The sequence below is a fragment of the Homo sapiens genome, chromosome 1, assembly GCF_000001405.40.
Source record: "Homo sapiens chromosome 1, GRCh38.p14 Primary Assembly".
NCBI lineage: Eukaryota > Metazoa > Chordata > Mammalia > Primates > Hominidae > Homo > Homo sapiens.
In genome coordinates, this window is record NC_000001.11 from 223,244,599 (window position 1) to 223,265,966 (window position 21,368).

Genomic DNA, 21,368 nt, shown 5'->3' on the forward strand with positions numbered 1-21,368 from the left:
CCAACCCCACCCTGATGCTACAGATTGGATTCTACCACTGAGAACTGGTGACTAAAATCTGCTTGAGTCTTGGTGTAGGCTCAGGTGTTGTTTTCTGATACAGGGTGGTAGGGAGCTGCTCTGTCCCCGCAATCATAGGCAGGTGCCCAAAGTACCTTCAGCAGGGAATATGGGTGGTCAGAGAGGTGGAAGAAATTACTCATCAGCTAAGCAACAGACTGATTTCAAGATAAGAAACTGCTCACGTTACATCTAATCACAAATTCTCTGTGCCACACTGGAGACCAATAGGAGGTACAGAAGAGAGACTAACAGCACTGGGTGTGTGTGCAAGAATCTGCTTTAGATGAGCTGTCCAGGAAAGTCCCCTAAATAGATGACTTTTAAACTGAAATCTAGAACAGCCCTATTCACAGTGGGGTCCATAGACCACTGGTGCACCCTACTGGTGCACCAACTGTTGGCTACAAATCCATGACAAATAAATAGAGAAATCAATCTGACCTTGTCACAACATCCATGTGTTTTCAATTTCTATTTTGATAGATACTTTCAATATCTAAATTGCATTTAAATAATGCAATTTGACTACAGTTGAATCTGATAGTTAAAAATGGGACTTGTATTATGTGTTTGTCTTTTTATTTTATCTAGTATCTGTTTTTATTGTGTATTATTGGTCTGCAACGTATTAGAAAACAGTAACCAAATCACTGGTCCCTTCACTACAGAGAGATGAGAGGCCCTAATCCGATCATAAATGCATACAGGAATGCACGATGCATAAAAACTAGGAAGGACTCGGTCCAGGAAGTGCTGGAGGAGGATGTGCCTGGCAGAGAGGATGGCACATGTGAAGGTGGGCTGGAGGCAGTGAAGAGAGGCCGATGGTGGCTGAGTGTGCAGGAGACAGAGGGCTACACAGCACGAGGGATGGGAGGCAGGCGGGACACTGTGTGTGCAGCTGCATGGAACCACGGCAAGTAGTTGGGATTTTATCATAGTGTGAAGGGACACTGCAAAGAGTGGGAACTGGCATATTTCTTAAAAGCTAGCTGGGTGGAGAACAGGCTGTTAGAGAGCAGGGATAGACATGGCAGGACTGCCAGGAAGTGGCTACCATGCCTGGAGAGATGATGGCGGCCTGGACCAGGACAGTGGCAGCCAATGTGGTGGGAAGAAGAGTGACTTGAATGTTATTCCTCTGTTTCTAAATAGGGCTTGGTGATTAGGCGGCTAGGAGAAAAAGAAGGATAACTCCCAGATTTCTGACCTGGCTCGATTGTGGTACTACTGACTATGCTAGGTTTTTGTTGGGTTTATTTGTTTCATGGCAAGGGAGTGGTACAGAGCTTGGTTTTGCACTGGTCGGGTTTGAGCTTCCAGTGGGAAAGTCATCCAGGTCAGTTAGGCAGCCAGAGAAAGAGTCTGGGATAAATGCAGAACTCAGGAATCATGAGCATAGAAATAATCTTTACAGCCACGGGACTGCACGCACTCACATAAGGGGAGAGGGCAGACAGAAAAGGGAACGGGACCCAGTCCAAATGCTGAGACACCCTACAGGGACGAAAAAGATGGCAGAGGAGACTAGGGCGCATCATGGAAGCCGCGAGGGGAGACTGTCCCAAGGAAGAGGGAGCAGCTCCTCACAAGCTGAGAAGGATGGAAAAAGAAGAGTGGCCATTGGATTTGGCCAAATGGGAGTCAGTAGAGACCCTAAGAAAAGCAGCTTTGATACAGTGGCAGAGGGGAAGCCATTCTGCAGTGAGTTGGGGAGTAAAAGGGGATGGAAACCTCAGGTGACTCTTTAGAGAAGTTTGCTGCAGGGAAGCAGTAAAGCAGAGGCCGGAGGGTCCAGGGAGAGCCCCGCCCCCACCCCAGAGCTCTTGATCTTGTTAAGACGTTGGCAGGAGTGGTTCAACACAGGGTACAAGGTTGGTAATCCAGGCAGGAGGGCAGTCATTCAGGAGGAGAAAGATGTGATCTTCCACATGAGTGGAAGGAGGGGCTGGCCTCTGACAGGCGTAGGAGGGGCTGGAGGGAAGCATGAGTGCTGGACACAGGCCTCAGCAGATCGGTGGCCAGGGTGGTGGAGATGTGAGTAAGCTGCCCTCTGAAGGCTCCCCTTTTCCGAATGAAGTGTGAGGCAAGGCCACCACTCAGAGGTGGGAGGGGGGCTGAGATGAGAACTATGTATCACTTATCACAGTCCTTAACCAATTTATATGTTTCATTACATGCAAAATAATAAAATGAGGCTTAAAACCAGTGTGTGCCTTGCAACTATCCATACAAATAACTCCAGGGCATGGGGCAGGGGAAGCAGAAGAATGTAGAATATTTTAACTTACTAAATGAATATTTAGAATGTACAATGAATGAATACTAATGTAGTATTATAGAATATTTTAACCTACTAAATCCTTCTGAGCCACTGAGCCCAGGTGCTTTGACTGAGTATTTTCATTCTTACTAGTTCCAAAGGTCCATACAGCCCCCCGGGTGTTCTTCATGTAGGAAAGACTTGCTCCTTTAGTCTGTGCATTCACATCTACCCCACACAGCTCGTGGGAGAGGCTGCTGGTTGCTCACCATAACCCATGTTCCACGAGCACCCAGCTGGTCCACATTGCCCACTGTCCCTTGTTTCTCTAAGTTCTAGCCAATGGAATATGAAGAGAAATGATAACTACTACTTTCACGCTTGATCCATGAAGCCTTCCCATGCTTCTCTGGCTGCCTAGAATGGAAATGATCTCCTAGGGGACCTCAGAAGCCCACCCTGAAGCCAGCAGAGCTTCCACTGGCCCCTGAATGACTGGGTGGAGAAGAGGCACTGGCGGATCAATATTCACTCAATGCCACTAGGTGAAAATAAACTTCTATTTTGTTTGAGCCATCATCCCTTTTTGGTAACCTTCTTACAGCAGCGGTCTACCATATACAGTTGGTATAAGGAAGAAATAACAGATGTGAATCTGCTTTGTGAAACAGCAGAACATGCATGCTCCAGATGTTTGTTGCTATTATTACTGTCACACCTCTTTCTGCCATGTTAGTGCTGCATTTGAAGAGTGTAATAATGAGTTAAGCCACTGGTTCCTCAACCCTGGCTGCACAGAATCACCTGGGGAGCTTTGCCTAATTGGTCTGGAGGGGGTCCTGGGCTTGGATGGGTCTTAAAGCCCTGGGGTGATTCTAACGGGTAGACAAAGTTGAGAAGCACCGTCCCCACAGTTGCAATGGTCAGGAGACCCCCTCCATCCCCTACGTGCTAAGGATGGATGGTTTACAACATTCAGTGGAGCCAGTATGCAAATTAAATTGTCATGGTATCTGGTCTGGGTCTTCACCTTTCACCGGACTCTTGCTATATGAATTGCAGTCCATGGACTGTCCATTTTGGGATCAACTAAGTGCTTATTAGAAATTGGTACTCTCTAGCAACACCTACTCAATCAGAAACTTTATTTCAGCAAGATTCCCAGGTGATTCACATGCACAGTGCAGTTTGGGAAGTGAAGTGCTGTTCCAGATCATGAGGAAACTCTGTAGCTGAGCTCAGTAGTAAAGCTGACTCTTAATGCTACGGTCTCAAGTCTCAAGTTGGCCTTGAGGAGCGTGGAGAAGTGGCAGGAAAGCCAGTGAGCCTGTATACTGAGTGCAAAGGCATCGCATCAAGACAGCCCAGCATGTTGTCTATGTGGCTCTGAGAGGGAACAGGAAGACAGGGACTCTGCTCCCATATTGTACAGAACCACCCAACCTCTGCCTGCAGGAGTTCTGCTGAATTCTAATCATCAAAACTGCCATTGCACCAGCCATCCCCAGTCTGATCTAAATTTGGGTAATGATTCCAGGAAGTTGCACGGAACCCTCTGTACCAAAGTCCTGGCCATCTCCATGACTACGTCTGAAACTTTGCTTTTAGCTCAGGGAAAATCAATAAACATTATACAGCACATTACATTTTCCACTTGTGTTTTGTTGTAACAACACAGAAGGCCAACACATGTGTCTACTGAAGGAAGCCAATGATCATGAGGCTGGGGCTTTGCTTGTTTGTGAGCAGGATGGAGCATGGTGTTTACCTACTCAGAGATGTGCTGACAGATCAAATTTAAGATCAATAGTACCCAGCAGCGCTGAGGGAGGGGCTCTCACCTGCTTTCCATCTCTGAGTCACTACGTTAGGATGTCCCTGAAGGAATACAAAATGCATGTGATGACAACTGTGAAACTTCACTGAAAAAAAAAAATGGCTTCACATAAGAAATCTGAAGTGTGCCTAGTTTCGAAGCCACAAGGAAGCCACAGAGGAGCACACAGGTGAGGGAGCAGGTGCAAACCCGTGATTTCCTCTGACAGCAGCGGGGAATGGCTGGTGCTGAAATCAAAAGCTGACACGTGTTTCTGTGTTCTGATGAGGTTGCTTGCTTTCTTTGCATTGATAGGAGCCACAGTGGCTACACTGAGGTCAGTCTTCACCACCACAAGGTGAAAATAAATCACAAGACATCTGTGGCGTCAGAGTGTTTTGACGTCTGTGAACATTTTCCAATACATGATCCCCCTACAGTCAGGACTCCTAAAGGTAATTGGGGCATCTGAATTTTTTGTAAGGGAAGGAAATCAGGGGCACAAGATTAAAATGGAGCGTGTGTCCCACCATGTAACCCAGGAAGCCCACAGGTAAGGGAGCATTTAGAGTGGATCATTTCTGACCCTCTCTGCAATCAGCAAACCCGTCTATTATCAGAGATGACACTGAAGTTAAATGTTGCTAGTGTATCCACATACTGGACCAAAGTGCCACACAGACACACATACATTCATGTATACAATTTTCTGAGCCTCCAGTCTTCCTCCCATAAATTTTTAGGAAAATCCTTAGTGCCTTCTCATTCTTGTCTATTAGCAAGTCCTAATAGATGAGGAAATACATAATTGAGTAGTGAGTTAAGAAGAGGAGGAAGCAATTGGTCATGCTTTGTTCCTAGCTATGCTTCAGTGTATGTGTGTATGCACTTATGGGTTCTATATTATAGTTAGTTCTATAATAAGTTTATATTATCCATAGAAAATAAACAGCCACAGTTTCCACTAGCAAAGGTAATTCTAAAGTTTACATGATAGAATTTTATCAGTATTTCTTAGTGTTCTGCAAAAAACATAAAACAAAAAATGCATGCTATTCTGTGAAAGGCACCATGCTTTTCTGACATCTGAACAAATTTAAGAAACACTGGCTTAGAAGACATGGACAGTGAAAAGAGAGGAAGAAAGGGAAAAGTCAGCTAGGAGAACAGAATAGGAGAAAGTGTGAGGGTGAGAATGTGAGAAAGGACAGGCTAAGAAGACATAAGAAAATCAGTGGATTAATGAGAGACTCTAGAGAGGCAGCTTTGCACTGCCTCTAGTGCAAAGGTGCAAGAGTGCAAAGGTGCACTTTCCTGGGTTCACATCCTGGCTCAAACACTTAGTGGCCATGACCTTGGGCATTTTACTTTCTCATCTTATTTTCATTTTCATTCATTTTACTTTCATTTCTTTCTGAGCTTTGGTTTCCATCATCTGTCAACAGAAATAGTAATACCTACATTGCAGGAAATTTATAAGAATTAGAAATAATATCCGTAAATCACCAAGCACAAAGTGCCTGGCACAAAAGGAAATGCTCAATAAAAAGAGACAGTGACTATTACTAGCTACATTACAGGCCAGTGAGATGAAATGAGAGCAGTAATGACATTTCACAAGAACGTACTATGAGGCAACATATGCACATTATGTCACTCAATCCTAACAACAATTTTGCAGAGCAGGTGTTGCTATTGCCTCATTTGCAAAGATAAGGGAATTGAGGCTGAGAAAGATGAAGTTATTTGCCCAAGGTCATCTAGCAAACTAACAGCGAGCTGGGACAGGACCTTATGTGCTGCTGACTCCAAAGCTGCCATATCTTACTGAGTCATGCCATGGGGTTTTAAGTGAACACAGGAGAAAGGGAGCATAGTGCCTCCCAACAGCCAAGTGGAAGAGCAACGATTTCATTATCTGCTAAGACATGTATTATGCACAATGGGGTTAGAGTTCGGAAAAGCCTTGAGGCCTCCAGAGCTAGAGGAAAAGAGAGCTGGAGGAACCCTGACAGATACAGGGAAGCCTCTGTTTGGCTCAGCTGGCATAAGCAGGGTGCGGTGTACCGGGCTAGAGGCAAGGTTAGCTCAGGAAGGGGCTGTGGGCAGGCCAAAGGATGCTGGCCAACTGGGGTTTGGGAAGATTCGAAGACAGCCCTTTAAACCTGGGAGCAAGAGCTAGAGGGAAGATGGAAGGGAGTTTGCTTCTTCCAAAGCTAAGGCAGGGAGAGCATGTGCAGTGGATCGAATTGGGTATCCCCCAGATTCTTACACTGAAATCCTGGTACCTGTGAATGTGGGCCTATTTGGAAATAGGGTAACTGCAGATGTAATTAAATTGAGGTCATATTATAGTAGGGTGGGCCCTTAATCCAATATGACTGTTATGTTAGTCTGTTCATTGTATTGCTATAATAGAATATCCAAGACTGGGTAATTTATAAAGAAAAAAGGTGTAATTGGCTCATGGTTCTGCAGGCTGTACCAGCATGGCTCCATCATCTGCTTCTGGCACAGGCTTCAGGAAGCTTATAATCATGGCAGAAGGCAAAGAAGAACAGGTGTGTCACATGGCAAGAGTGGGTTCCAGACATGGGAGGAAATACCACATGATTTTAAACAACCAGATTTCATGTGAACTCAGAGCAAGAACTCACTCATCACCAAGGGGATGGCACTAAGCCCTTCATGAGGGATCCACCCCCATGATCCAATCACCTCTCACCAGGCCACACCTCCAACACCGGGAATCAAATTTCAACATGAGATTTGGAGGAAATAACATCCAAAACATATCAACTTGTGTCCTTATAAGAAGAAGAGGCAACAAAGGACATGAACTCATCATTTTTTATGGCTGCATAGTATTTCATGGTGTATATGTGCCACATTTTCTTAATCCAGTCTATCATTGTTGGACATTTGGGTTGGTTCCAAGTATTTGCTATTGTGAGTAGTGCCACAATAAACATACGTGTGCATGTGTCTTTATAGCAGCATGATTTATATTCCTTTGGGTACATACCCAGTAATGGGATGGCTGGGTCAAATGGTATTTCTAGTTCTAGGTCCCTGAGGAATTGCCACACTGTCTTCCACAATGGTTGAACTAGTTTACAGTCCCACCAACAGTGTAAAAGTGTTCCTATTTCTCCACATCCTCTCCAGCACCTGTTGTTTCCTGACTTTTTAATGATCGCCATTCTAACTCAGCAAACTATTGCAAGGACAAAAAACCAAACACCGCATGTTCTCACTCACAGGTGGGAATTGAACAATGAGAACACTTGGACACAGGAAGGGGAACATCACACACCAGGGCCTGTTGTGGGGTGGGGGGAGGGGGGAGGGATAGCATTAGGAGATATACCTAATGTAAACGACGAGTTAATGGGTGCAGCACACCAACATGGCACATGTATACATATGTAACAAACCTGCACGTTGTGCACATGTACCCTAGAACTTAAAGTATAATTAAAAAAAAAAAAAAAAAATATATATATATATATATAAAAGAAGAAGAGGCGAGACACACAGAGGGAAGACGGCCATGTGAAGACACAGACATCAAGGGAGAACTCCATGTGATGACCGAGGCAGAGGCTGGAATGAAGCGGCGACAAGCCATCGAACGCCAAGGAATGAGGCAGCAGCTGAAACCAGGTTGGGGATCGTTATGCTCCAGGGACAGTAGAGTCCCCCACAGCTAACTCCAAGGGCCACAGAGTCTTTAAAAATGTCAAGCAGAATGGTAGGCAAAGGTCCCATTGGCATGCTGCTTTAGCCATGGTTGGCTATAGAATTCTTGGCTTCCCAGCTTCCTGAACAAATTAACTTTTCTTCCCAATTCAAAATAATTTCCATCAGAATAATATACTTATAGTATGAAAATACAGACTGATGTAGGCACAGGTGTTTACTTGTGATAGCTTGAACTAAGGACTAGTTTTAAAATATGAATTTCCATATAATTGGCTTTTTTTTTTAAACTCCAGTCATGCTTCCCCTTCTTAAGGCCTGGACCAATGAAATCCCTTCCTAGGAATGGAGAAGACGGGGTCAGAAAATGCATTAGGGGCCGGGCGCAGAGGCTCATGTCTGTAATTCCAGCACTTTGGGAGGCCAAGGCCTGAGGTCAGGAATTTGAGACCAGCCTGGCCAACATGGTAAAAAACCCCATCTCTATTAAAAACACAAAATTAGCCAGGTATGGCAGTGCAGCCTGTAGTACCAGCTAGTTGGGAGGCTGAGACAGGAGAATCGCTTGAACCTGAGAGGCGGAGGTTGCAGTGAGCCGAGATTGCACAATTGCACTCCAGCCTGGGTGAGACAGAGTGAGGCTCCGTTTCCAAAAAAAAAAAAGAAAAAGAAAAAGAAAATTCATTAGGTTGTCATCCATCAAAGAACAAACTGGCCAGAATGTAAACAAAGTCCTGGACTTTTCTTCAGAAGCCACAAGAAAAAAAATGTGCCATGGGATGAAGGCTCTGTCCTCTCTGCACACTCTAACTTTAGAGGATGTGGGCACAGTTCGGAGTCAGGCATTATCTTTTTACAGAACGCAAGCCAAAAACAACAAAAACTTGCTTCAGTACAAAAAAAAAAAGAAAATGATCATGAACATAGGCATGATGGTTACCATTTCTATGAAAAAAATGAATGACATGAGACAAAAAGATAGGAATAGAAAGGTATGACTATTTTACCCACGCATCACTCCAAATGTCTAATTAATTTGGGAGAAAAGGCAGGGAATTACGGCAATGGTTTATGAAGGAAAGTGGAGATGGGGGTGGGAACTGGGGTGGAGAAGGAAGAAAGGAACAACAGAGAGGAATGACCCCAAACACCCTGCCGAATATTGCCGAGTGACTCCCAGCCTGAAAAAGGCCCCTGAAATGACTGCAGGCATTTATTACCTTCTGTGTTCCACCTGACTGCAAGAGGTTTTATTACTATGAAATACAAGTCATCTTACTTCCCAGAGAGGAAAGAAAGAAATAAATCCTGCCTGGAGCAGGGATAGAGAAGATACTCTAGAGTTTAAGGACAAACACTGAGAATCTCCCATTTGTACCGGTCATCTATTTTCTGAGCATAATGAGGTCCCACTCGTGGCATAAGCTAGAGGCTCATACCCCTGGTCACAGCTTTGCTGTTGCTTAGCTCTGCACTTCCTTCAGTAACCTGACATTTAAGCATCACAAAATAAAGACCTCAGCTTGCATGTCTGTGGATTTGCAAAAATAGGAGGGGACTACAGGGCAAAGGAGGATTATATTTTGGTGAGAACTGTGAACTCAGTGAAAGAAAGGGACATGTTCTCCACCCCCTGCTCCAAACAGGGAATCCTGCCAGGCTCATGCAAGCCCCGGGACAGGCGACCTGCCCAGGTGAGAACCATGGATGGGGGCTTGGGTAGAGTTGGGCTTGAGACTGGTGAAATCCCATCTCTGAATGGTGGGGAGAGGGGATTATCTGAGTCCTCCCTTGGGTGATCTCTTCATTTCTTGATTTGGCGGGAGAGGTAGTTCAAACCAATGAAGCTGTCAGCTTTCTTTCCCCTTTGGTGGGAGAAGAATCACCTCTCTTCTTCCTCTGACCTCAGTCTAGATCTCTGCACTTACACGGGATTAAAAAAAAAGAGACAGATAATTATAGGAGTCCAGGAGAGACAGAGGGTTAATGGTTGTGTTTCCACCAAGGCTAAAAGGAAGGCAAGGTGCTGAGACAGGAGCCTGCCAAGGGTCTTAAGCTAGTGAACAGCAGATTCGGAGAGAGAGGATGAGGACCATCTATCATGTTGGGAATCAGAAAACGCAAGAGAAAAAGAGTCTAAAAAGTAATAGCAGGAATGCCTGAAAACTTGGATCTACTTGAAAAAAAGGAATAAGGTCTCTTGGTTTTCTTAAGACAAAAAGATCAGTGTTTCTGGATTTGATATAGGAAAAGAAAAAAGAATAATGAAGCTTCTTGATGCCATGGCACAATCTATCTTGAGTATGAGAGAGATGTGTGACCAAGAAGAGGAGGAAGCTACAGTGGCAATTACTTATTGTAAAAGAAGAAGAGAAAATTAAGCACAGTGATCCTTGAGAATGCTGTATGGCATGCAAGCAGCTATTTTCTGGTAATCACTCTGCTGTAATATATGAACAGTACATGGAAATGATATTAGAATAATTTACTATTGCTGGTGAACAATGAATTAACAGGATTGCTTGCTATTTTGCATTTCCCTCTAATAAAACACCCACCAGGGTCACAGGCAAGGTGATAGTAACACGAACAGCACCAGACACAGGGATTTTCACTGCCAGGGAACAAAATGGCAAAAGGGGATGGTATGTACTAATGTATGTGCCCAGGCCATAGAATTCATTTTCAGTTCACAAAGGGACCTCTGTTTGTTTCAGACAGGGAGAAACACAGGAGGGAAAGGGCATGAGATTTTCTCTTTCCTAGGCCCAGGGAACACACATTCATCTTCAAAGGGAACTGAAGATTCTTTTGAGAATAAGATCTAAAAATCCTGTAAAACTTTGACTGATGTAAGCTGGATTCCTAATTAGGATTATAAATTAGCCATCTACTTACATCCTTGAAGGCTGGGAGTCTAAAGAGGTTGGGGGGTGGGAGGTTTCTATGACCCAAGCCAATCATTTCATTGCTCTGGTCTCAAGTTCCTAAGGAGGCAGAACCCGATGTATGATTTTCATATTTCACGCCAGCAAACTCTTCCTTCAAATAAATCTTGAGTGAGAACATAATATGTAAATATATAAAACAGAGCCATTGGGGCTGGGGGAGCCTGGGTCAAAGTTACCTGGGGCTTCCCAGGGAACTCCCAGGGCCTTAGAGCCTTATGTTCCAGAACCCCTGGCCAAGCATTACCTAACCTTGTATTAGCTAGAGGAGGCGAGGGAAGGGCAGAGCTTAGGGCAAGCAGATTAATCAGAAGCCCTCCCTCTACTGTCCCATGGAAAGAAGCTCCCCTGCTATATCAAGTAAAAAAGGCATTTGCTGCCCTTTTCTTCCTTTTCTGCCGATTAAATTTTATGCTGGGTCCAGCTACTGGCAGGATCACGGATAAGCCTGCAGGGAGCTTGAGGGCCCAGGAGAGGCTAATTGAGACCACGCCTCTGGCCAGCGGGTTTATTCAGAACTGTGGGAGGCTGAGTGGGTATTCAGTGTCCAGGTGGTCACTGCTATTATCATTTACACAGAGGTGCACAAGACTTGAGTCTCTAATAGCAGTGGCCACTTGGCACATTGTACATCCCTGGTTGGCACCAGCGCCTTGCCTGGGAAGGAGGGAGGAAGGGAAGGAAGAAATGGAAATTCCCCCATTGCTCACCATTGTATACAGTGTAGCTTGGGGCAGATCACATGGTATTGCCCTCTCCCTCCTCCAAAGCCTTTTACATGATAAAAATTCAGGTTCCTGAGAACACTAATGGTAAAGAAGTCATCAATGGGTGGCTGTGCAGATTACTCAGGTGGCCGGGCTGGTCTCTCCCACGGAAGGCAGTGCAGTACAGGAGAAAGCACAGCCTAGGAGTCAGGTCAGGGCTGGTTTAGAATCTTGGCTCTGCAGCCTACTCCCTAAGGCCAAGGGGTGTGACCAGGCCTGCTTCCTATCTGAAAATAGAGGACAGTAATACCTGGAGTTGTCTAGAGGCTGACTAAAGATAGCAGGTGATGTGCCTGTTACCAAGATGACCCTCACCACACATCTCTTCCTTTCCTGCCGCTCTCCTCCTGCAGATGACTCCAGGCTCACAGGCTGACTGTATAAACATGAATTTCAGGAAAACTCTGTTAGCCAGCATTGGGGGGAGAAGCTCTCCTAGCACCTCTCCCCTTCATTTTGCCACCTGCCTTCCAGAGCCAGCCAGGGACAGGGCAGCCTCTCTGAGAACAGTGTGAGTTCTGGTTAAGAGCAGAATCAAAGAATCTGACCACCAGGAAGGAGCCTCTAAGATCAACCCTTCCAACTCCTTTCCATTCTGTCTGAGGAAATGGACAGAGCTAGGATTAGAACCCAGATCAAAATTTCCAGCAGGTAGTCTGGGTCTTAGAAGGCCTAGAAGAGTAGTGTCAGTAGAAGGTGTGGGCTCAGGAGGCACAGGGGCCGGTTGCTGTGGACAGAGTGACCTTGGGGAAGGAGCACCGGAGCTGTCTGAACCTCAGTTTCCTCATCTATAGGCTGGCGCCACACTTGCTTCTCGTGACTGTTGTTAGGAGAGATCATGAAATAAACTACCTGCACGGTGCTTGGCATAGAGTAGGCATCCAAAAATGTCAAATGAATCAAAAGAAGTTTTAGTTATAACAGCTGCAACTTGTAGAATATAAAGCATGTGCCGGGGCTAGGAGTGCAGGGAGGAACAAGGTGCTTTCTGCCATGCAGTCAGTTGTTCACAGGAGGAAGAAATTTGAAATATTATTTGTCCCTGTTCAAGAATGTAGATGACGGGCTGGGTGCGGTGGTTCATGCCTGTAGTCCCAGCACCTTGGGAGGCCGAGGTGGGAGGATTGCTTGAGGCCAGGAGTTTGAGACCAGCCTGGGCAAAACAACGAGACCAAGTCTCTACAAAAACATTTTTACAATTAAAAAACAAAAAAAAACATAGGCAAGGAAGGGAGTGAAGATCAAGTGGCATGGGCCTTCCCTACTCAAGGCAGCCTGATGGTGCCAGAGCCCAGGGTGGATGCTGGACCTTGACTGGTGCTCCCAGGCCACCACTGTGGCCAAGCCTGCTACTCTCTGGCACTTCCCATTCATCTCTACAAGGATACACTGGGGTACGGTGGGTTGGCTTAGGAGAAAGGGAAATTGGTGATGCCTAAGCTCTGTATTCTATGACCAGTAATTCAAAATCAGTGGCATGAAATCCCCAATATGACCTTTCTTCTGTCATTTCCCATGTGCTACTTCAAATCCAATGCAGAATAGTTTCAAGTTTATCAGAGGATGGACCCGAGCTCATGCTTTCTTATTGTGGATCACCGGGCAGGGAGCTGAGAGACCCTGCGTCTCCCCCACATGTCTGGGGACAGGTGGCAGGAGGAAGATAGGAACTCCATAGGGAGAATAGAGTGGCCCTGATTCGGGTCTGGGGAAGTGACCGAGGTGACACTGGGCCTCATCATGAACAGTAATTTACGACCTTATTGGGAACGGTATGGACTCCTCTTTATGTCTGAAGTTTCCATTTGTAAAACGGGAGCAGCCTGTCCCAGGGTGGGCCCTCATCACACCCCCTTTGAGTGTCCCCTGCAGCCTGCCTCCAGGATCAGGGTAGACTCTGTCATCCAAGGAGGCCTGGATTCTCTGCTGTGTCTTTCCTGTTCCCTACACAGGATTCACTTTGAAGTTCTGAGGCACTTCTGAGTGAAGGCAGGATTCCTGGAGGGAGAAATCACTTCAGGCGCCTCTTATACCAGGCGCCTCTTGTACCTGAACGTGTTTTGACTCAGGAACAAAGTACACTGCAAATGTAGCTTGAGAGCTGGGGAGCCCTCCACATCCAAGCTGGCTTTGAGTTTTGATCCCAAATTGGAACCTTTCAAGTCATTTCACATTTGGCCAAACAAGGTTCTTCAGTTTCTTATTTTTCCTCCTTTTCTTATAAAAGGATACAGAGCTGAAAGGACCCCTGGGCACTTGTAGGTTCTTAGGAAATCACACTGCTGCATTCCCTGTGATTGAATTGGATGCTGTCTGATGAAAACTACATCTCTGTCCATGTGGGCTCTGAGATGAATGGGGCTGGGGGGAGTCACCTGGGGGCATTCTGGGTTTGGGGACTGGGCAGATTTAAAAACCTAAACTTTCAGATGTTCGGCTTCCAAGGGGGTCGGGTTTACTGGTTCCTGGGAGAAATGGCAGCCACGAGGCTGAAAAAATCTTTTGAAATTGTCAGCATCAGGGAAGCCACTGCCCAAGTCATTACAAATGAAACCTTAGGTACCTGCAGATCCTACAGTGATGTATTCCCCTGTTTCGGAAAAGCAAACAAATGAGCAGACCAGACTCCCTGGGGCCTCTGGGATCATGCTCACTGCTTTCCCTGAAAACCCGGCTGCCTTCTGAAAGCAGACCAGGCATCACGTCTCAGAGCCAACCCCACACAGCAAAGAGTGACTCACCAGCCTGACCCTCCCAGTTCTTTCGAAACCATGGAGACCTTGCCTTAGAACTCCTTCTAGGTGGCCTTCAGTGTAGGTAACAATCTTCTCTACCACGGGAGGCCCTGGATAACTTACAAATGTAATATTTAGAACCTAGCTCTGCCTGCGTGGAGAGTGCAATTTCAGGAATAGCAACACATGCTATGTGAGCCCCAGGGGGACAGAGACTTTGCACAACTCATTTGCCACTGTTTGCACTGGACCTTGCAAAATACTCAGCATATAGGCATAAAAATGTTGGCTGAATGAAACCATACACCTCAGAGGCACTTACGTGAAATAGCATATGACACTGATTTTGGTTTCTTTTAAACTCTAATCTCCCTAAATGTTTGATTGGTCCTTTCTAAACTTGATTCCATCTTTTTATCTAGAGTGTTGTTGAAGGGAGGACTTCTGGATAAAGGATCCAGGATCCTAAGTCCTCTAATTTAGCACTTAGGGCAACAGGAATCTTTAAGTGGATGGCAGCTACAATTAAGGACCCCAAATTCCAAGTTTTTGCTTCCATCGTCTGTTCTTCTGACCCTTGCAACCTGTCTCAAAGAGGCACAGTGCTGTGATCTCTGCTGTTGAAAGAGCTGCCCCCAGAAATTTCTATAACTGGATACCCAGCACCTCTGTGCTGTTTCCAGGCTGTCTGAAAACCTGAATGTGAAGAGAATGTTCCAGATACTAACGGGTTGTGGGTGGTCCTATCCCCTGTAGAGAAGAGCCCTTTCCTGCAACCGCTCATAACCAGCAGCTCTCACAGCCCCAAGCACACAGTGTCTTGGGGATTCTGGGCAGTTAGTGCCTCTTCTTCCTAGACTGCCCCGTGTGTGTCTGTGTCCATCCCTGCAACTATGTGCTACATGGTTGGTTCATTTACTTATTGTTATGCTCCTCAATATCCTTCCATATTCCCACCCTTCAAACCACTGTGCTGGAGCCTCTCACACACACTAGGGCAGGCTGCGTCTATACCGATGAGCTCCACCACACTTCAAAATACACAGTCCTTCCCTAGGAGTGAGATGTTCAGAACTTTCTCTTTCCCCAAGGCTCAAGTGGAGACAGAAAAGACAGAAACATGCTACTATTGGTCTCTGGGGAAAATAAACAAAAATGCCATAAATGCCTGGGTAGAAAATTTCATTTTACAATTGTGATATCATCTCCTGAAACTGTCCTTCTACCCTTTCTAAATGCAGAAGCCCCCGTGTGCCCTTTGGTAAAAGTAGCTGTGTGTGTAGTGGCTGCCATCTGTAATGAGGCTATTCTCTAGGAAATGGACTTTGCCATCTTGTTCTCCCTCTAGACTGTAAACTCTTCAAAAGAAGGAATTATGTCCTTTCCTTTCTTTGTAATTCCCCAGTGCCCAATTCGGTGTTGCTCTGGCCTAGCAGGTGTTCAATAGTCACTGGTGACAACATAAACTGAGTTCTTAGCACTTAACAATGAGAAATTCCCCACATTTATTGTCAGAGCTTTTTTAGTTTTTAAAGATTTCTTGCATTCAATGTGTGCGTGTGTGTGCACGCACATGAAAGAGACAGATGGAGGTGAGGGCCTCAGGGAGGAAGAGAACCCGAGAGTGGAAAGCACTAAGATACACGCAGACAAGGCAAAGCACACAGGCCCACAGCAAGCCAGGGCCCACAGGGACACACAGGGATGCAGGAAGCTCCTTCCAGCTCCAATTTTATACAGTCATTGATTTTAAAACATTACAGCCATCATTCTGGTTCAATGCTTTGAAATTTTGGGTGCTTTATCTGACAACACAGCTATGGGGACCCATATACGCTCCAGAATCTTCCCACTATCCATGAGTGCAATAGTGCAGGCCTTAAAACATGCGACCCACATCTTCGTAGTGGGCTTCCAAACTCTTGCCACCTTTGGTGAGGCTGCCAAAGCGTTTCCTTCCAAATTATCAACTCCTTCATGAAGCCAGGTATCAACTATGAGATTGTTGACATGTCAGTGTGACAGCTGTCACTCAAACACTGACCCTCACAAAGTGCTCTCCACTCCGCTAGGGAGAGGAGGTGCCATGCGGCAGAGACCATGCGCCAAGAGTTGAAGGGTCAGGACAAGTCATGGCATTCTCCAAGGGGTCATGTCCTCATCTGTAAAAGGAGGCCAACAACCTCTGCCTGGCTCACTGGCTGAAGTGGGGTTCCATGGCCACGTGGGAGACTAACGGGCATTGTGGGGCGGCAGCAGTAAGAGCTTGCGGCCACCCAGCGGGCAGCAGAGCCTCTCTGCTGCTGGGATTTCTCAGGGATGATAACTAAACTAGAAAGACAAACTCTTTTCTATGCAATAATTATTTTATTGTTTTGCTTTAAGAAAATGCCTATAAAAGTATCAAATTGCTTTCCCCCTGTTAGATTGTAATCAGAACATGTTAAATAGACAATGTACCTTGGTGATCAAGAACATGAGCTTTGAAGTGACAAAGATCCATGCTATAGTCCCAGCTCCCCCTCTTCCTAGCTGTGACTGAGCAAGTTACTGAACCTTTAGAAGGCTGGGTTTGCTCAGTGGCTAAAGGGGGTCAATAGTACCTGCTTCCAAATGGCATTAAAAGTTAAGATTAAAGGAGACACTGTGTCAAACACTTTGAGCAGTAGCCTGACACCTATGTAGTAAGCTCTCAAAATTAATGGTGGCTGTTCTTATTGTTCAGTATGTCCTCTTGGTATCTGAGTCATCTTACGTAGACACAGCTTAGAATACACAAATAACCAAAATAGCACCTGAACAACCAAAATTGTGTCACAGTGTACATGTCTAAAAGTCTGGAGACCGTATTCACAGAGAGTCATGCTAGGTTCTCTCTTATTTATTGAGATTTTATATAAAACTCTTAGTGCATTAATAACAACAGACAAGTGATTGACCACATACTATGGGCTGGGCACTTCATTAAATGGGTGGATTTGTTATTTCACTGACTCTTCCCAGTCCCACAAGCCAAGTAGGACTCATCACCCCCATTTTACAGAGGAAGAAATGGAGGCTGATAGAGGCTATGTGACTTGCCCCAGGTGAAGTGATTGAGTAGGATGCCAGGATGTGAAGCCAGTCCGTCTGAGGTCAGCTTGCACTGGTAATTGATATGCTATGCTCCCTCCATGACCAGCCTGGTGAACCTTCCTCCTGGCTCACAGCAGGTTAGAAAAGAAATTGGGGGTGAGGGACAGCTGCAGCGACAGGTACCCTGAGTGTGACAGGCACACTGACAGCTGATGGATTGACAGTGAAAGAGGAACGGGAAAGGGACAGAAAACTCAAAGAGAAAGACTTCCACAGCAGAACTGTCCACACCATTACTGCAGGGGTCAGAGAGTTCTAACATATCTAAAAGCCCCTTAGAGCATCATAATTCCACAGCCCAGTGCAATAATTTTCACTATGTCATCAAGAAAAATCAAATTGTGCAAATCGTGTGCTTAGGAAGACAGAAAGATGAGGAGTTAAAAGTGTGGGTGATCTATGAAAAGGGTCGATTCCTTTGTGACAGTTCGTCTATGTTGAATACCCTATGACAACAGTGCATAACTAAGGCACCATCTTTTAAAAAGATGATACACAATTAAAGTGAGAATGAGAGAAATGCAAACCTCTAGGCACATCTGGATAACTTGTTCACGAATCCTTACCTCTTAGTTTAACCCACTGCTTAATTCAACCCAGTTTCTATCAAGTCTTGAAAGAAATAATCCTTTAGTCCCCTCTGTGCCTCTCAGTTTAGAATCACCACTTTGTACCTTTAGCCAGTGTTGCATTGAAAGTGCTCACCAACAAATGCCATCAGACAATTTAAAGGGATGTCTATTGAAAACGGAGATGTAAACCTTATTAAAAAAACAAAAACCCTAGGGAAAAAAGACGCTAAGTGGCCTTCCTGGCACAGGCAGCTGTCAGCCAGGGTTTTCCCATCTACTCATAGTGGAGGATGGCAGAGGAAAGGGGACATGTTAGGCCAGAAGACTCATTTTCAACCCAAAGCCACTCTCGGCTCCCTGTTTTTAACCTTAGATTTTGTTTTATGCCTATCCAATCATATTCTCTAGTCTCCATAAAGACTGCTTACAAGTCCCAAAATAAAGCTTATCAGAACCTGACTGCTTGAAACACATTTAAACCAAATTTGAAAAGATTTGAAAACAGGCATTTCAAATTGATAAAATCGTAACAACGATATCTTTAAAGGGCCCTCTCTGTCTGGTTATCTGAGTAGGGAGAAGCCTCCAGAACTAGGGAAGAGCCCCTTCCATCAGAGGTCCACGGCCTACCAGCAGCATCCAGATAACAGGAAGGCTATTCCCACTGGAAGCAAAAGAGATGACCTTGTCCCTTGAGGCTAGGGCGACCAGATTTAGGAAATAAAAATTCAAGACACTCAGTTATTAATATATTTGAATTTCAGATAAGGAAAGAATAATTTTTTATACTAAGTATGTCCCATATATCGACATGCTCATATTAAAACATTATTTGCTTATCTGAAATTCAAATTTATCTGTGTATCCTGTATTTTATCTGGCATCTCTAGGCTAGGCTCCAATTCCCTGGGGGATTTGCGATGGGTGGGAAGTGGAGTGAGGGGAGTTCTAATGATCAGCCTAGGAGTATGACAAAACCAATGGGAAGGGCTGGCCTTCTGGCTCCCTTCCCTCCTTCCCCCATCCTTCTCCAAAGAGATTCCATGGCTCCAGCCAACCCCACTCCACATCCCTAGAGAGGCCGTCTCTGATCCTTCTGAGCAATAGTCACCCTCCATGACACACGTCCTACCCTGACTTCCTCCCACACAGAGGTGCACACTTGTAGAGATGCTGTAAACTTGTAAGAACTCATTTGTTTCCATATTCCATTGTTTTGCTTTGTTTCCCAAACAAGGCTGCAAATAGGCTTTGAAGCGGCTCCTGACTTGAGGTTTCTTCACTTTTTTCTTTCCCCATATAGACCCCTCCTACCCACTATACTCAGATGCTGAGAAACACATTGGAGCTTGTTCTCTTCGGGCATACTTTCAAGATCTGAGTTAAAGCAAGAGCTGAACCAGCATGTCCAACTTGCCTAGCAGAAGTGTTTACAGGCTTTTCCCCTGCAGACACTGCCTTGACTCCGCCAGTGGAAGCCCTGTCCTTCTCACTACTTCATACTACTGATTAGTGGTCTTTCGTGAATCACAATCTATAGTCATAGAGATTTAATAAAAACAGGGAGGAAAGAGCTCTTGCTTTCAGGCATCCAAGGGTGTGCTTGCAGCAAAACATTTACAGCTAAGCCATAAAGTGCATGGAAATATGGAGGAAACAGCGACACAACAATAAAACGAGGGGTAAGATTAATGACATGATACAATCTGTTCCCATTTGGTGCAGAGAAAATTAATTTTTGAAGACATTTCATTTAACTTTGCAATATTTTGTAATTTAACCTTTAATGTTCGCAACTTTTTCTTTTATCTGCTCTCCTCTTTAAGCCTAAGGATGAGGGAAGCAAGTTTTACATCTAATTGTAAATATGGCTTCACGGCAGCTGATCTCTGCTCTGGAGAAAAGTGAGAAAGATGTATTCAGAGAAGAAAAGTTATTGCCCATCATAATTCACAGCTCTTCCTCCTACTGATCTTCTTCCTCCCTTTAATAATACAAAATACAACTTCCGAAAGAATGAGATGTGTTACCTTCCAGAGCAAGGCACCGGGGTGGGCTGGACGACCAGATAAGGTTTTGTAAGCACTCAAGATACGCAGACCCATCAAGTTTAAATCCGGGAAAGCAGCGATAGGAGATCACAGTCCCCACCGGGAAGGAGGTCTGGAGCTCAGAGATGTTTACATAGCCATTAGAAGAGGCTAGAGGTCTCAGGCAGCCTGTGGAAGGTGAAAGAAAAAGGGAAAGATTCCACTCTGTCATCTCTGTACATCGAAAAGTCACACAGAACACTGGAACTTTTTAGGATTCCCCCACCTCTGAAGGTGAAAATGGCACCACCTCTGAAGAATGAAGCACCTTGGTCTCAAATACTCAGGTTCCTTATTCTAGTTATCATGTAGGTATTTGCTCCGCTATTTGAAAATGGCACCAAGAGGGTCAGAGGAGTAGTTAAGACAGAGGGAGGGTGGTGAATGTCTGACTGTGGATTGTACACCCTCAGGCCACGTGTTCTGGCTCTGACTGCGTTTCAGCATCACCTGAGAAGCTTTTATAAAACACCAGTACCTGGGCCCCATGCCCAGGCTCTGAGGACAGGTTGAGAATCACCGAGGTGCTGTAAGAGGAAAGAGACACCGCCAGTGGTTTCAGTGGTGGTGAGAGCAGCTTCAGAAGCTTAGGTTCCAAACTGAATTCCACTATAGTGGATTTGGGGACAGAAATCTGCCTGAGATGGTGGCCTTAAATTTCTGAAAACCCAGTTGTGTTTTATGTAAAACAGATGAGGAATCCCACAGTGTAGTGGTTCTCAAACTCGAGAATGATCCGGAGGGCTTGTTAGACACAGGCTGCTGGGCCCACCTGCAGAGCTTCTGTTTCAGCAGGTCTGGGGCAGAGGGAGCCTGACAACTGCACTGCCAACATCCAGGCACTGCTGCTGCTGCTGCTGCCACTGCCAGGCTCGGGACCACACTCAGAACCACTGATGTCCTGAGTCTGTGCATCGAGCACAGCATGCTGTGTGCAATAGTGTGGAAGTGGGACCTGGATCCCACACTCCTTCTGTGAAACACTAAGCAGCCTGTTTGCCCTGAAGCCTGTGCAGCCAGTAGAACACTCCTGGTGGCAGAGAATTCTGTTGTGTGTGGCATCCACTGTGATCAGGGCATTTCTTATTGCTTCAGCAGTTTCACTGGAGAGAATAATGACACTGCAGAGCCGGTGTTCTTCCAGGAGAGAACTAATTGTGTGTGAAGTAAATAATGTATAATGAAAATACCCACTTTCCCTTCCAAGTCACCAGATACAGATTGTATGTGTCCCATGCACAGCAGCAGATGACTGAACCCTTCTCCTAAGCTGACTT

At 45.4% G+C, this 21,368-nt stretch overlaps 1 protein-coding gene across 14 annotated transcripts in view, besides 1 other annotated feature; it reads right to left on the reverse strand.

Annotated features, from left to right (window-relative positions):
- The window catches only part of SUSD4 (sushi domain containing 4), a 144,405-nt gene that overhangs the window by 23,768 nt on the left and 99,269 nt on the right, over positions 1 to 21,368 (reverse strand). For all 14 annotated transcript variants that reach the window (XM_024447936.2, NM_017982.4, NM_001410929.1 and 11 more), the window contains one exon: positions 20,032 to 20,220. In XM_024447936.2, coding sequence (XP_024303704.1) covers positions 20,032 to 20,220 — 189 coding nt within the window. The remainder of the gene's footprint in view (positions 1 to 20,031; positions 20,221 to 21,368) is intronic.
- Positions 93 to 212: an enhancer, noted in NCBI's record as "active region_2588". NCBI's record gives its function as "activates an Ori minimal core promoter by ATAC-STARR-seq in GM12878 lymphoblastoid cells {active_cell/tissue: GM12878}" and the evidence as "EXISTENCE:reporter gene assay evidence [ECO:0000049][PMID:35858748]".